This window comes from Homo sapiens, chromosome X, assembly GCF_000001405.40.
Source record: "Homo sapiens chromosome X, GRCh38.p14 Primary Assembly".
NCBI classification, from domain to species: Eukaryota; Metazoa; Chordata; class Mammalia; order Primates; family Hominidae; genus Homo; species Homo sapiens.
This window is the reverse complement of record NC_000023.11, coordinates 54,747,697-54,762,194: the sequence shown is the minus strand read 5'-3', so window position 1 is coordinate 54,762,194 and position 14,498 is coordinate 54,747,697. Positions and strand designations below refer to the sequence as shown.

At 45.9% G+C, this 14,498-nt stretch overlaps 1 protein-coding gene across 1 annotated transcript in view; it reads left to right on the top strand.

The window, feature by feature from the left end:
• ITIH6 (inter-alpha-trypsin inhibitor heavy chain family member 6) overlaps positions 1 to 13,277 on the top strand; it is a 49,338-nt gene extending 36,061 nt beyond the window's left edge. The window contains exons 7-13 of the mRNA NM_198510.3: positions 2,268 to 2,439; positions 3,197 to 5,230; positions 7,086 to 7,178; positions 8,230 to 8,265; positions 8,431 to 8,544; positions 10,815 to 11,192; positions 12,089 to 13,277. Coding sequence (NP_940912.1) covers positions 2,268 to 2,439; positions 3,197 to 5,230; positions 7,086 to 7,178; positions 8,230 to 8,265; positions 8,431 to 8,544; positions 10,815 to 11,192; positions 12,089 to 12,300 — 3,039 coding nt within the window. The 3' untranslated portion in view covers positions 12,301 to 13,277. The remainder of the gene's footprint in view (positions 1 to 2,267; positions 2,440 to 3,196; positions 5,231 to 7,085; positions 7,179 to 8,229; positions 8,266 to 8,430; positions 8,545 to 10,814; positions 11,193 to 12,088) is intronic.

Below are 14,498 nucleotides of genomic sequence, written 5' to 3'. Positions count from 1 at the left end.
CAAAGAGAATAAAATACCTAGGAATCCAACTTACAAGGGATGTGAAGGACTTCTTCAAGGAGAACTACAAACCACTGTTCAATGAAATAAAACAGGACACAAATAAATGGAAGAACATTCCATGCTCATGGATAGGAAGAATCAATGTCGTGAAAATGGCCATACTGCCCAAGGTAATTTACAGATTCAATGCCATCCCCATCAAGCTACCAAGGACTTTCTTCACAGGATTGGAAAAAACTACTTTAAAGTTCATATGGAACCAAAAAAGAGCCCACATTGCCAAGTCAGTCTTAAGCCAAAAGAACAAAGCTGAAGGCATCACACTACCTGACTTCAAACTATACTACAAGGCTACAGTAACCAAAACAGCATGGTACTGGTACCAAAACAGAGACATAGACCAATGGAACAGAACAGAGCCCTCAGAAATAATACCACACATCTACAACCATCTGATCTTTGACAAACCTGACAAAAACAAGAAATGGGGAAAGGATTCCCTATTTAATAAATGGTGCTGGGAAAACTGGCTAGCCATATGTAGAAAGCTGAAACTGGATCCCTTCCTTACACCTTATACAAAAATTAATTCAAGACGGATTAAAGACTTAAATGTTAGACCTAAAACCATAAAAACCCTAGAAGAAAACCTAGGCAATACCATTCAGGACGTAGGCATGGGCAAGGACTTCATGTCTAAAACATCAAAAGCAATGGCAGCAAAAGCCAAAATTGACAAATGGGATCTAATTAAACTAAAGAGCTTCTGCACAGCAAAAGAAACTACCATCAGACTGAACAGGCAACCTACAAAATGGGAGAAAATTTTTGCAATCTATTCATCTGACAAAGGGCTAATATCCAGAATCTACAAAGAACTCAAACAAATTTACAAGAAAAAAAGAACAACCCCATCAAAAAGTGGGTGAAGGATATGAACAGACACTTCTCAAAAGAAGACATTTATGCAGCCAACAGACATATGAAAAAATGCTCATCATCACTGGCCATCAGAGAAATGCAAATCAAAATCACAATGAGATACCATCTCACACCAGTTAAAATGGCAATCATTAAAAAGTCAGGAAACAACAGGTGCTGGAGAGGATGTGGAGAAATAGGAACACTTTTACACTGTTGGTGGGACTAGAAACTAGTTCAACCATTGTGGAAGACAGTGTGGCGATTCCTCAGGGATCTAGAACTAGAAATACCATTTGACCCAGCCATCCCATTTCTGGGTATATACCCAAAGGATTATAAATCATGCTGCTATAAAGACACATGCACACGTATGTTTATTGTGGCACTATTCACAATAGCAAAGACTTGGAACCAAGCCAAATGTCCAACAATGATAGACTGGATTAAGAAAATGTGGCACATATACACCATGGAATACTATGCAGCCATAAAAAATGATGAGTTCATGTCCTTTGTAGGGACATGGATGAAGCTGGAAACCATCATTCTCAGCTAACTATCTCAAGGACAAAAAGCCAAACACCACATGTTCTCACTCATAGGTGGGAATTGAACAATGAGAACACATGGACACAGGAAGGGGAACATCACACACTGGGGCCTGTTGTAGCATGGGGCGGGGGGAAGGATAGCATTAGGAGATATACCTAATGTAAATGACGAGTTAATGGGTGCAGCACACCAACATGGCACATGTATACATATGTAACAAACCTGCATGTTGTGTACATGTACCCTAGAGCTTAAAGTATAATAATAAAAAAGAGACCTGGGATCATAAAGGTCCTAAACATCATTGAATCCCGGGTCATGGAGCCCAGGAACCATATAGCAAATGAATTCTAGAGCTCTAAAAACAGGGAGCTTGAACCTTTTAGATGACCAGTGTCCAATATGACTTTCGTGATGATGGAAATGATCTAAAATTCTGTGCTATCTAATATAGTAGCCACTGGCAACATGTGGCTATTGAACACTTGAAATGTGGCTACTGCAAATAAAGAATTAAATGTTTGAATTTTTCTTTAATTTTAGCTAGTTTATATTCAAATATAAGTAGCTACATGTGACTATTAGTTCCCATATTAAACAGTGCAGTTCTATGCCTTGGAACCCATAGAGTCTTTTCACCTGAGAATCCTAGATTCACAGAGTCCTGCAGTCAGAGAGTCTTAAAACCATATAACACTTAGATGTTAATGCCTTGTGTAGAAAAAGCCTTTCAATCTCATAGACCTCAAGTCTTGTCCCATTCTCTTCATTTCATCCATATCCCACAGACTAAAACGGCCATGAATGTGATCCTCAGTGACCTTCAAGCCAATGACTACTTCAACATCATCTCCTTTTCTGACACAGTTAATGTTTGGAAAGCTGGAGGCTCAATCCAGGCCACCATCCAGAATGTCCACAGTGCCAAGGACTACCTGCATTGCATGGAAGCCGATGGCTGTAAGTGTTAGATCTACCCACCCAAATGGGCAGGCTGTGGTGATATGGGAAATTCCTGAAACCCTCTCTTCATTCCCCCATCCTCCTCAACTCTCACAGTTCCTGAAATATCAAGACCACATTTCACACAAATATGGTCCTTTGTCCTCTGTGTTCTCCCATCACCCTTTCCTTGTAGAAAGAGCACAGCCGATTCTCCATGTATCTTAGGGCACATTTCTTTTTGGCCTCAGTTTCCTCTTCTTTAAAGCAAACACTTGAAAGAATTTGCTAAACTTTCTTTAAATCAATAATCTAGATATTTATTTCCAAGCATTTGAGGAAGCTGCTGCCCTGATTCTAGCTTTTAAGCAATCGTCTCTGACAACTACTGAAGTCTCCTCTACCCACTGCCTCCTGTCAACTCTGTCCTTTCTTCCCCTGTAGCAAGAAGGTTGGAGGGGGGGGTGCTAGCCTTGGGAGCCTGCCAGTCTGGCTCGGGAATGAGACATCTCCCCCCTCGACCCTGCACCACCAAGGAAACAGACAAAGAACAGTGTGAGACAGAGAGTGATAAAAGCCAAGGACATGTGGGCCCCAATGTCAGATCTCAGCAAGTCTGGGTGGGAGTGGAGAAGTTGGGAAGGAGAAACAGTGGATACAGCCTGAGCAAAGATAAGGAGCTGTGAGCCTGGGAAGTTGATGAGGTGCCCAGTGTGTCTGCAATGGGGGTAGAAGTGACCAGAGAAGATGGTCTCACAATCTATTCCCCAATTAGGGACAGACGTCAACTCAGCTCTGCTGGCAGCTGCTTCAGTGCTGAACCATAGCAACCAGGAGCCTGGGAGGGGCCCCAGTGTGGGGAGGATCCCTCTTATCATCTTCCTGACGGATGGGGAGCCCACGGCCGGCGTGACGACCCCCAGTGTGATCCTCTCCAATGTCCGTCAGGCGCTAGGCCACAGGGTATCCCTTTTCAGCTTGGCCTTTGGGGATGATGCTGACTTTACACTGCTGCGCCGCCTGTCCCTGGAAAACCGGGGAATAGCCCGGCGCATATATGAGGACACTGATGCGGCCCTACAGCTGAAGGGCCTCTATGAGGAGATCTCCATGCCTCTGCTGGCAGATGTGCGTCTGAACTACCTGGGTGGCTTGGTTGGGGCCTCCCCTTGGGCCGTTTTCCCCAACTACTTTGGTGGCTCTGAGCTGGTGGTGGCAGGACAGGTGCAGCCAGGCAAACAGGAACTGGGCATCCACCTGGCAGCCCGTGGCCCCAAGGATCAGCTTCTTGTGGCCCACCACAGTGAAGGGGCCACCAACAACAGCCAGAAGGCCTTTGGTTGCCCAGGGGAGCCAGCCCCCAATGTGGCCCACTTCATCCGCCGCCTCTGGGCCTATGTCACCATTGGAGAACTGCTGGATGCACACTTCCAAGCTCGTGACACCACCACTCGCCACCTGCTGGCTGCCAAAGTCCTCAACCTGTCCCTTGAATACAACTTTGTCACACCTCTGACTTCACTGGTCATGGTGCAACCCAAACAGGCCAGTGAGGAGACCAGGAGACAGACTTCCACCTCTGCTGGGCCAGACACCATCATGCCCTCATCCAGCAGCAGGCATGGCCTAGGGGTAAGCACAGCTCAGCCAGCCTTGGTGCCCAAGGTCATCTCCCCCAAATCAAGGCCTGTGAAACCAAAGTTCTACTTATCCTCAACTACTACTGCCTCTACCAAGAAGATGCTAAGTTCCAAAGAGCTGGAGCCATTGGGAGAGAGCCCTCATACCCTGTCAATGCCCACATACCCAAAGGCCAAAATTCCAGCACAACAGGATTCTGGCACCTTGGCCCAGCCAACTCTCAGGACAAAACCTACCATTCTTGTGCCCTCAAATTCTGGTACTCTGTTGCCTCTGAAGCCCGGCTCTCTATCACACCAGAATCCTGATATATTACCCACGAACTCCAGGACACAAGTCCCACCTGTGAAACCTGGCATCCCAGCCTCGCCCAAAGCTGACACTGTGAAATGTGTTACTCCACTGCATTCCAAACCTGGTGCTCCATCGCACCCCCAACTTGGGGCACTCACATCACAGGCACCTAAAGGCCTGCCACAGTCAAGACCTGGAGTCTCTACACTTCAGGTTCCCAAGTACCCACTACACACCAGACCTAGGGTTCCTGCTCCCAAGACCCGAAACAACATGCCACACCTGGGGCCTGGAATCCTCTTGTCCAAGACCCCTAAAATCTTATTATCTCTTAAACCGAGTGCCCCACCACACCAAATTTCCACAAGCATATCACTTTCCAAGCCTGAGACCCCAAACCCCCATATGCCTCAAACCCCACTACCTCCTAGACCTGACAGACCAAGGCCCCCACTTCCTGAGAGCCTAAGCACATTCCCAAATACAATCTCAAGTTCCACAGGTCCCAGCAGTACCACAACCACCTCTGTCCTTGGAGAACCCCTCCCCATGCCCTTTACTCCCACTCTGCCCCCTGGAAGGTTCTGGCATCAGTATGACCTCCTCCCGGGTCCCCAGAGGACCAGGCAAGTTCTGGGACCATCTAGGCCAGGAGTTCCAACAATGAGCCTACTCAACAGCTCCAGGCCTACACCAGAAGGCAGCCCTCCAAACCTGCCAATCTTGCTGCCTTCTAGCATCCTCCCTGAGGCCATCAGTCTGCTCCTTCTCCCTGAGGAGCTAGAGCTGCTGTCTGAATCAATGGTGGAATCCAAGTTCGTGGAGTCCTTGAACCCACCAGCTTTCTATACCTTCCTCACTCCTGATGAAGATGGTGAGTGCCATGGGTAAGAGGTCGAGCCATGAGGGTGAGGTATGAATGGACAGTACCAGGAGCTGGGAATCTACAAGGCTTATGCAGACTCCAGTGATGGGACAGCTGCTTCCTTGCTTGCTTGCTTGCTTGCTTGCTTGCTTGCTTGCTTGCTTTGGGACTTTGGACAAGTTACTTAACTTCTCTGGGCCTCAGTATACATGCATGGAATTAGAGGCCTTGGGAGAGGAGGAGTGTTGAGACTGGGAAGGCTGAACAGAAACAAATTGGCCAAGGGTTAGCTTTGACATTTGTTTTGTTGGACAAAAGAATTGCTGATGCTTCCTAAGCAGGGGAGGAATGCATCATTGGATGAGGCGGGTCTTATTGGTTTTTCTGTGCTCTGTGAATAGTCCTGCTTAATGACAGGGGTAGAAGAATTGGGGAAGATAATTAAAATTATCTTTAATTTCCAAAAAAAGTATGAAATAATAAGTTAACATTTGTGAGCTCTTCCTATGCACAAGTACTGCTCTACATACTGTACTTGTCCCTCATTTAATCCTCACAAGAAACATCTTTCTTTCTTGACATCGTCATTTTACACGTGAGGAGAATGAAGCACAGAGAGGTAAAATAAGTTTCTCAATGTCACACAGCTAGTCAGAGAGTTGAACTCATACAATCTGGTCACAGAATGAATGTGATTCACCACTCCAGTATCCTGCCTTCCTAAGAGAAGGAGTGACATTTCCTAGGTGACCTTATAGGGCAGGATTAGAACCCACTGAGAGTGCCTAAGTCACAGGGATGCAAATTTGGGTATGACATCCTCTACATGCCTCTCTCCTCAGACACCCCTCCAATATCCTATCCATCCTCAGTTATTGACAATGCTACCTCTAATATATTTACCAAATCCATCCACTTCCCACCACCCCAAGTGTCACTGTGCTACAGCAGACCACCATTGTGTCTCACCTAGAAAACTGTTCCAGGCTCCTCACTGGTTTCCCTGCTTCCTCTCCTGTCCTGTTACAGGCCAGTCTCTCCCAGCAGCCAAAGGGATCCTTTAAAGACACAAATCACTTCATGCCCCTTCCCTACTTAAAATCCCTCAAGGGTTTCCCATCGTACTTAGAATGAAGTTAAAAGTCCTCTTCATGGCCAGCAGGCTCTGCATGATCTGCTCCCTACCCCCATTCCTCTATGACCTCACTCTCTCCCACCCATTCTCTGAACTCCAGCCCCACTGGTCTCTATTTTGCCCCTCCAATGAACACCCTACCCCATCTCCACTCAGGGACTTTTTTCAAGCTACTGTCTCTGCTTCATAATCATCTGACCTGCTTTGTCCTACCCCTTCCTGCTGCCCTTATCCCTTCCATTGCCCTTCGAACTCCAGCTCATGCCTTAGATCTCAGCTCAGATCTCCTTACCCACCCTCCCCCAAGCAGGCTACTTCAGGTCTCTGTTTAACTCCCACAGTCACCTCATTATTTTTTTCCAATAGCATTTATCACCATTTGTGATAAATTATGATTTCATTCATGTCTGCCACCCCCTACTAAACTATGAGCTTCACCAGGTCAGAAACTATGTCTTTATTTTTCACCACCATATACCTAATACCTAAGCAATGCCTGAATGAATGAATGAATGAATGAATGGACAAATGAATGTATAAATGCTATAAGGAAGAACTTTGAACATATCTGAGCTTGAGAGATTAAGAGGCTGTGGAGAGCATAAGGTCCCAGTCCTGGAGATGGGCAGGTCAACCTGCAGAGCCAGTGAGGGCTCTCCTTGTCAGAAAGATTTTGAGACTTTGCCCCTGGAATTTGAAGGGTTTTCTTATTTCTTTTGTGCTTGGCAGGAAGTCCAAACTGGGATGGCAATTCTGAGGAGATCCTGGGAGGAGCTGGAGGCAGCATGGAATCTCAAGGAAGTTCTGTGGGGTTAGCAAAAGGTGAGCAAGGAGCTCTCCTGACAAAGATCCCCTGGGCCTTCATTTCCATTCCATTAGAATTCTTATTGACATTGTGGGAGACCAGAGGGAAGTAATGTATTAGTTTTCTATTGTTGTGTAACATTTATCACAAATTTAGTAGCTTAAAACAACACCAATTAATAATCTCACAGTTCTGTTAGTCAGTAGTCTAGAAATAGCTTAGTTAGATTCTCTGCTCAGGATCTCACAAGATTGAAATCAAGGTGTCTGTCACACTGAGCTCTCATCCTCTTCCACACTCATTCACGTTGTTAGCAGAATTTAGTTATTTGTGTTGCTGGGACTGAGGTTCCCATTTTCTTGCTGGCTGTTGGCTGGAGGATCGCTCTCAGCTGCAAGAGGTTACCTGGGGCCACTCTCAGTACCTAGAAATCTCCTGCATTCCTTGCCATGTGGTCCCCCTCCATCTTCAAAGGCAGCTATGGAGCATTCCCCTAATGCCAAACCCTTCTCACACTTTAAATTTCTCTGACTCCTCTGTCTCTGACCTCTAGATACAAATATTAAGGGCTTACGTGATTAGGTCAGGCCCCACCTGGATAATATACCCTTCATAAGTTCAATAGGGTCACATGAAATAACCTATTTCTGGGAGGATATTTCATCATATTCACAGCTCTGGAGATTTTACAGAGTGTGTACACCAAGAGATCCTGTGGGCCATCTTAGAATTCTACCTACCACAGGCAGAGAGCAAGAGAAAAGAGCATTTGGGCTGGCCTTGAAGGATAACTAGAAATTCATCCTTGGTAGTTAAGGGAAAGGAAAACATTCCAGGTGGCAGGAAAAACAGGAGTAAAGGGTCACTAGGAAGAGAAGGTAGGACACTCATAACAATAGTTTGGTTGGGCTAGAGCACAAAGACTGGAGAGCTAGGCAGGGACTAGATTTCAGAAAAGCCTTAAATGCTGAACACAGGAATTTGGCCCTTATCTGGGAGTATGTCCCAGAATTCCTAGGAATGTGATACATTAGTCCCTTCCCAACACAGTCTCTCTCTCCTTTGCAGGCACATTGCCTAGCATCTTCACCTTCTCCTCCTCAGGTAAGCCAGTCACCCCCATGGCTCCCCTGTTTGAGTACAGGGCAGCTTGTGCACTGGGACTGGGGCTGGGGAAATAGACATAACCTCTTCCCTTTCCCTCCTCTCTCTTTCCCTCTCCCTTCCATTTATTCCTTTAACTTTAGAGTTGTATCTTCTGCCTTGCAGTGGACGGGGACCCCCACTTTGTGATCCAAATCCCACACTCAGAAGAGAAGATCTGCTTCACACTGAATGGGCACCCTGGGGACTTGCTGCAGCTCATAGAGGACCCAAAGGCAGGTAAGAGCCCCAAGAACTCCATCACCATACACCAAAGCTGGATATATCCATGTCAATACCCCTAGACATTTGTGGGTTAATACCCCAGACACATAGCAATGCACCTCACTAACACACGGTAACACACAAGAACACACCAAGACACACAAAAAAACACACATGAATACACTCAAACACCAAGATACTCACAGATACACGCACAAAAGGGCATAGAGTAAACTCACACAAATATGATGGAACTTCAAAAAGTTTGTGGTAAAATGGAATTAAACGATAAAAAATTAAAAACATAAACATTGTTTCTCAACATAAGCTCCATCAAGTACAAGATAAGCAATGATAGCAGCCATTTAGTCCATCCCTAAAGAACTGAGGGTCCTGGGAATTTAACCATGTTAATGCAGTATTTTATACATTATTTAAAAATGAAGAAAACTGGGTGCCATTTAAAGATTTTTTAAGATTAGGAAACAAAAATAAGTCAGAAGGAGCCAAATCAGGACCGTAAGGTCAATGCCTAATGATTTCTCATCAAAACTCTTGAAAAATTGCCCTTGTTTGATGAGAGAAATGAGCAGAAGCATTGTCATGGTGGAGAATTCTCCGGTGAGGCTTTCCCAGGCATTTTTCTACTAAAGTTTTGGCTAACTTTCTCAAAACATTCTCATAATAAGCAGATATTATCATGCTTTGGCCCTCCAGAACGTCAACTAGTAAAATGTCTTGAGCATCTCCCAAAACCAGTTGCCATGACCTTTGCTCTTGACAAGTCTGCTTTTGCTTTGAATGAACCACTTCTACCTCTTGGTAGCCATTGCTTTGATTGTGCTTTTGTCTCCAGGATCATACTGATAAAGCCATGTTTCATTTTCTGTTATACTTCTTTGAGGGAATGCTTTAGGATCTTGATCCCACTTGTTTAAAGTTTTCATTGAAAGCTCTGCTCTTGTCTGCAGGTGATCTGGGTGCAATGGTTTTGGCACCTGTCAAGTTGAAAGTTTACTCAACTTTAATTTTTCCATCAGAATTGTGTAAGCTGAACCAATTGAGATGTCTATGGTGTTGGCTATTGTTTCTGTTGTTAATTGCCAGTTCTCTTCAATTAGAGCATGAACAAGATGAATTTTTCCTCGAAAATTGATGTAGATGGTCTGCACTGCAGCCTTCTTCATCTTCAACATTGTCTCATCCCTTCTTAAAACGAGTTATCCATTTGTAAACTTCTGCTTTCTTTAGGACATTGTCCTTATAAACTTTTCATAAAATGCCAATAATTTTACCATTCTTGCACCCAAGCTTCACCATAAATTGTTCTTCCTTCAATTTTAGCAGAGTTCATGCTGCTCTGATAGGGGCTCTTTTCAAACTGATGTCTTGTCCTTCTTAATGCTTCAAACTAGATCTGGTTCATCCGTGTTGTAACAAATTAGTATGAGTTTATTTTGGTGCAAAAAATTTTGAAATCCATCCATAGTTTTTCATAAAATGCATTTTCCATGAACTTTTTGAAGACTCCTCATACACACCATGGTGTACATATTTTGACACTCCTTTCACCCACAAATATGCAAATATGCACCTAGACACATGGTGACACACAACACATGCCCAGATATACACAATGGCATGGACATCAACACACTCGGGCATACAAGTACTGAATACCCCAAGGTTAATCCCAATTTCCAGGTATTCAACACATACAGGCAGCAAACATACTCTGCTACACTAGTTATATGAAATACACTGATGCATGGAAATACCTGCCAAGCCAAACAATGACACTAATCCAGATGCACACACTGACACTCCATATACACATCAGCACAGACCAACACATAACCAGGTACACACAACATACACTATTGCACCAAGACATATAACACCAACATATCCAGAGGCGCATACATAAATATACAAGCAAAAATACGCACTCTAACATACCACCTTCTCCAAACATGCAGATGTACTGATATGCCCAGACTTACTCATATGAACATAACCAAACACACATATTACACACTCAGAGGCAAACACACATATATATGCAAACAACCACACTGGGGTAAGCGTGTGCACACATACTACATGCCCCCACTCCACACACTGCTCAGGAAGGAGCAGCCAGGTGGACCATGGTAGAAGTAGTTCTCTCAGGAGTCGGCCCTCTAGCCACAAATCTGCACTACTTCATCTGCCCATGCTGTGGGTGACCATGTAAATGACCATGCAAAAGCCCCCGCTCCAGGCCCACACTCCCCTCCCTCCAGGGCTGCATGTGAGTGGGAAGCTGCTTGGCGCACCACCAAGGCCGGGCCACAAGGACCAGACTCGCACCTACTTCCAGATCATCACAGTCACTACAGACAAACCCCGGGCCTATACTATCACCATCAGCCGCAGTTCTATATCTTTGCGAGGCGAGGGTACCTTGCGCCTGTCCTGGGACCAACCTGCCCTGCTGAAGAGGCCCCAGCTGGAGCTCTATGTGGCTGCTGCAGCCCGCCTTACCCTCCGCCTTGGGCCCTACCTTGAGTTCCTAGTCCTCCGACACCGCTACAGGCATCCCAGTACCCTGCAACTACCCCACCTGGGGTTCTACGTGGCCAATGGCTCAGGCCTCAGCCCCTCAGCCCGTGGCCTGATAGGTAAGTGCAGCTGAGGCTGAGAGGGGCCAGGGAGCACCAGCCACCAAAAAGACCCTGCCAGGGTGAAAGGCATGTATATCCCCAACAAGGAAGAGGAATCAGCAACAGACTCTTCCCTTGGGGAGCTCCTCATCTTGGGAGAGGACAGACCCAGATATGGATAGTGAACACAGGAGGGGATCATTGCTGGACAGAAAGCTGCCCAGGGAGCTAGAGAAAACCAGAGTGGGGGAATTTGCCCAGCCTCAGAGCTCAAGAAGGACTTCCTGGAGGAGGTAGACACACCCACGCTGAGTCTGAAAGGCTAAACAAGAGTGTGGAGGAAAGGAATGGAAGTTGGAGGAAATAGAGTTGAGTGGTCAGAGTTGAATGCCAGGATGAGGAATTGGGCTTTATCCTGAAAGCAATGAGGAGCCATGAAGGGTTGTAAGCCGAGGAGAGACACAGTCATATCTGGGTGTTACAAAGATCCCTCTGGAGACTGCTATGAAGGGAGGTTGTAGGAAGCCAGGCTGTAGGTCAGGAGACACTGGCAGAACCTGAGGCAGAGGCTCACATCAAAGAGTGACAGTGGGTTAAACAGATATTTTTACCTCCTCTGGGCCTCCTCCCTCCTCTTGTCTCCTTCTTTCTAATCTTCCCTGTCTTCTCCAAACCTGGCTGTCCCCCTTTCTCTGCCATCTCATGTACTTTGGCTCCCTACTTCCATATTACACTCCAGCCCCATCTGGCTCCTGTACAGTTCCCACAATGCCAAGCCTCTTCCCTCTGGTCTTTTGCTGCCCCTCCTTCTTCCTCCTTTAAATCCCTCTGGATTTCCTGCTGGGCCTCCTTGCAGATCTCTGAGCAGGGACTCAGGCCACCTCCCTGACTAGCACTGCATCTCTCTCCCTCAGGGCAGTTCCAGCACGCAGACATCCGACTGGTGACAGGACCTATGGGGCCATGCTTACGAAGGCACCATGGCCCAGATGTGCCTGTGATTCTAGGCAAGAGGCTGCTGAAGGACTCACCAAGGCTGCTGCCCCGCTGGGCTTCCTGCTGGCTGGTGAAGCGCTCTCATGTAGAGCTGCTTCTGGGCCACCCCTACCTCTCCTATGTCCTGTGATGGCTTCTGAATTCCAGAGCCAGGAGACCTGAATTTGGGAGATCCAGAAACCAGGGCATGGGGTGAGCCAGGGACAGAGACCCAAGGACATGGAAGCACACACAGGGACACACAGACTCACGCATGTTCTAAGGAACACATATACAAGGGTATACAAACACATAGACATGCAGAGACATAGAGTCAGGGACTCCTGCATCTTCATGGTCCTTCACATCTCCAGTCTCACCCTCTCCAAATCCATGCTCCTCACCAGCCCTACAAGCCACTTTTGTAAAACGAAAAAATGATCAGTAGTTCTGCTCACAGCTTTCCCTAACTCCTATGGCATATTCAAGGCTCTCAGAGTTTCCCTAACAAACCATGCTCACTCCTACCACTGGACCATTGCATGTGCTTTTCCTTCTGCATGAAACACTCTTCCTTTGTTCCTGTAGGTGAGTATAATTCATCCTTCAAATCCTAGTTGTTACCTCTTCTAGGAGGCCTTTCCTGATGCCTGCCCTAGATTGAGTTTGGTCCTGTCCTCTGGGTTCCTATAGCCCACCCCCAACCCTCCACGCTCACAGTATTTATACTGTGTAGTAATCATCTGTTTACTTGTCTGGATCCCTGACTTAGACTGTGAGATCTTTGAGGGCAAGGACCTTTTCTGAATCATCTATGTATCCCCAGTGCCTCTCACATAATAGGTGCTTAGTAAATATTTGTTAAAAGAATGAATTAATTAATTAACAAAAAAGGATCCCATAACATAGCAATAGACACACATATATACATACTCACAACCAAAGACACAGGATCACACCCGGAAAAACAGTGACAAGGGCACAGATATGGATGGATAGAGGGACAGACATTTATGGAAACACAGGAATCACAAAACAAACATGGACATAGGGGTATAGAGACATAAAAAGATGGGGACAGGGAGCCAGAGTGGCAGAATCAGGGACATAAACTCAGAGAAAAAGGAACAGATGCTCTCTGGCTGCACCTCTGTGTCTTCGTGGTTTTCAGTTACTGTCCCTGTCACAAAGAGGCAAAGAGTAAAAAAGGTCACTTAGGTACAGACACATAATGAGTAATGTAAAGACACTGATACATAACTATATACAAACTAAGAGATAGATAAACATAGAGATTCAGACACAGGAGCAGAGGTATTAAGACACACAGAGACATGGGGACATAGGTAACCAAGGAGACACTGACCAGGACCACAGTCCAAGACACCAAGGTCAGAGGGGTAGAAACTCAGAGATACACAGACATGCTGATTTGCAGACATGAGGCAGAGAATAGGAGAAGAACAGAGAAACACAGGGCCAGAGACATATAAAGATGTAGAAACAGAGATGTTACACAGACTGAGGCTTGGTGACAAAGATAGGGATATAGGCAAAGGAATACACTAAGAGTGAGACAGGAGCACAGACTCATATGTTCACAGATCCACAGATAAAGACATGGAGACTCGGATACTTGAACAGTTACAAGAAAAGAGATAAGGTTCAGGCCAGAGACATAAGGAGAGGCAAGATGCAGACCCAGGTAAAATGGGGACATGGTGACACAGTGAGAGGCACATTGGGAATTCAGAGACAGAGAACCCAGAACAAGTAGACATAGGGATGTGAACCCACAAACACAGTCATATGGACACAGGCTAGACACAGAGACAGAAACACAGGGACATGTCTGGTAAGATAGAAACAGGAACAAGGAAACCTAAACACATAGATCAGACAGACAGAATATAAGCAAATGGGCATAAACATGTGACAAAGAAGTATATCCAGAGAAGCAAGGGTGCAAAGACACCGAACCAACATGCACCTGGCAACACCAGAAAAAGTTACACACAGACAGACAACCAAGGCCACAACAGAAGGCATGGGAACAGGGAATCAGACCCAGGTACACAGAGATAGTGGCTTAAAGATAAAAAGATATGGAACCAGACACCAGACGCAAACAGAGAGGCAGGAACACAGAGGAGGTGAGCCAGACCAAAACAAAACCAGGGGCAGAGTGACACAGAAAGAGAAACAGATGCGGAAAGACACCCTGACAAACAGACTCACAGAAATGTCAACAGTCATGGGAACCCAGAGAAAAAGACACAGGAACTGAAAAAGAGAGGGACTGAATCACAGAACAACTTAAAACACAACCACAGTAACATAAAGAAACAA